This window comes from Homo sapiens, chromosome 1 (genome assembly GCF_000001405.40).
Source record: "Homo sapiens chromosome 1, GRCh38.p14 Primary Assembly".
In the NCBI taxonomy this organism is placed as follows: domain Eukaryota; kingdom Metazoa; phylum Chordata; class Mammalia; order Primates; family Hominidae; genus Homo; species Homo sapiens.
Window position 1 is genome coordinate 222,221,954 of NC_000001.11, and position 1,690 is coordinate 222,223,643.

At 39.9% G+C, this 1,690-nt stretch overlaps 1 annotated feature.

The window, feature by feature from the left end:
- Positions 736–1,270: an enhancer, noted in NCBI's record as "NANOG hESC enhancer chr1:222396031-222396565 (GRCh37/hg19 assembly coordinates)". NCBI's record gives its function as "activates a minimal SCP1, AML or CMV promoter by ChIP-STARR-seq in naive H9 embryonic stem cells {active_cell/tissue: H9 hESC(naive)}" and the evidence as "EXISTENCE:reporter gene assay evidence [ECO:0000049][PMID:30033119]".

Sequence of the window (1,690 nt, forward strand, 5' to 3'; positions counted from 1 at the left end):
TTCTGAGGGCCCTTCATCAATCCTTTCCCCAGAGGCCCTTGCCCCAGCAATTTTCCTCCCAATTACCATTAAAGTATACCCTTTCTCATCAGTTACATGTAGTAGCTCCTAGATAGATGACACCATTACCTTCCAGATGAAATTTCTAGCCTTATTAGATGGTAGCAGAGCCTTCTGAGGGATATATTAGAACACTGAGTCTGGCCCTGTTTGAACCCTGGCAACCATGCTGAGAGGAACCCAGCTGCAAACTAAATGACCTAATAAGGTCTTTTTCATCTGTAGTATCTCTGATTATAGGCCTGTCATTTTTATTCCCATTCCAGAATAGATTTATTACTTTCTGAAGACTTAAAAACAAACAAACCTCATTCGGTTGTTTATGAGGCCAGAAGTGTTGAATTTAGATAAGTTCAGGTTTAATGACACATTTGACCTACCACATTCAGTCTCCCTAGAAACTTAGTCACAATGTCTGAACGTGTAACATTAACAACTAACCCTCTGTGAAGAAAAACCCCTATATGGACACTTGCAGTGCAACTTTGAAATGACTACATGTTCTGGGAGTCTAGTAAGTACTCTACCTTTGGAATAGCCACTTTCACCCTAACAGGCCAAAGAATTTGCAAATATATCCCAGAAGAGAATATTTCACGTAATTTTAAAATATAAGAGTTCATGTTTGTGTGCCTTGCCCAGTCATGCCCAAAGCAAAGATGGGAAGGGAAGAGTGAAGTGGGGAGGTGATAGTATATCTGCCATTCCTATGACAGTCAGATACTATTGTCAGAGTTTTATCATGTCACATCCAAGGTCACTTTGACTTCAAGTCTGTCCCTTCTTAGGAAACTCAAGGTGAACTTTAGAAATCCTACTGCTTGATTGTTTCTACTAAGCTTATTTTTACATCAGTGTTTCCCAGTCTGTCATGCTACTTGCCATTTGTATGGAAGAGTTAACACAGCAGGCTATCTTTATGAAGGCCTTTTTGCAAGGTGAAGGTCAGCCTTTGGCAACTAGGCATTTGTATTTCAAAAGGATTTCCACCACCCTAATTGACAAGAGTGGCCCACTATGCCTAAACCATTATACAAACAATATGATGTCTGCTAAACATCTGCTTTCTTTGTGGAAGTCTAGAATCTTGTTATGTGCTTGGCAAAAGGTGCCCACATGATCAGCCTGCAATGAAAACCCTGGGCACTGAGTCTCTAAGGAGTTTCCCTGGCTGGCAATATTTTACATGTGTTGTCATGACTTGTTCCTAGGGAATGAAGCATGGACTGTGTGACTCTACCAGGAGCGACCCCTTGGAAGCTTGTATTTGGTATCCTCTGGACTTCATTCATGTACTTTTTCCCTTTCCTGATTTTGCTTTTGATTCTTTTGCTATAATAAATTGAAGCCATGATTTGATGAGGCCTGGGGGAGACTTCCTAGCAAATTATTGAACCCTAGAGTGGTTTGGGAGACCCCTGACTTGCAGCTGTAGTCAAAACATTTTGCAATTAGAAGGCACTATTATCAATTACATTATTTTTAACATTGAAGTTATCTGTTCTTTAAGTTTCTAAAGAGTGGTTCCTTGTAATGCATAAACTCATTTTTCTTGGTTGCTCCCAAAAGAAACATATTGTGATCCTCTTCATTTTCTGATCTTGATTCAGTGTGTTACTTTCTCCTATGG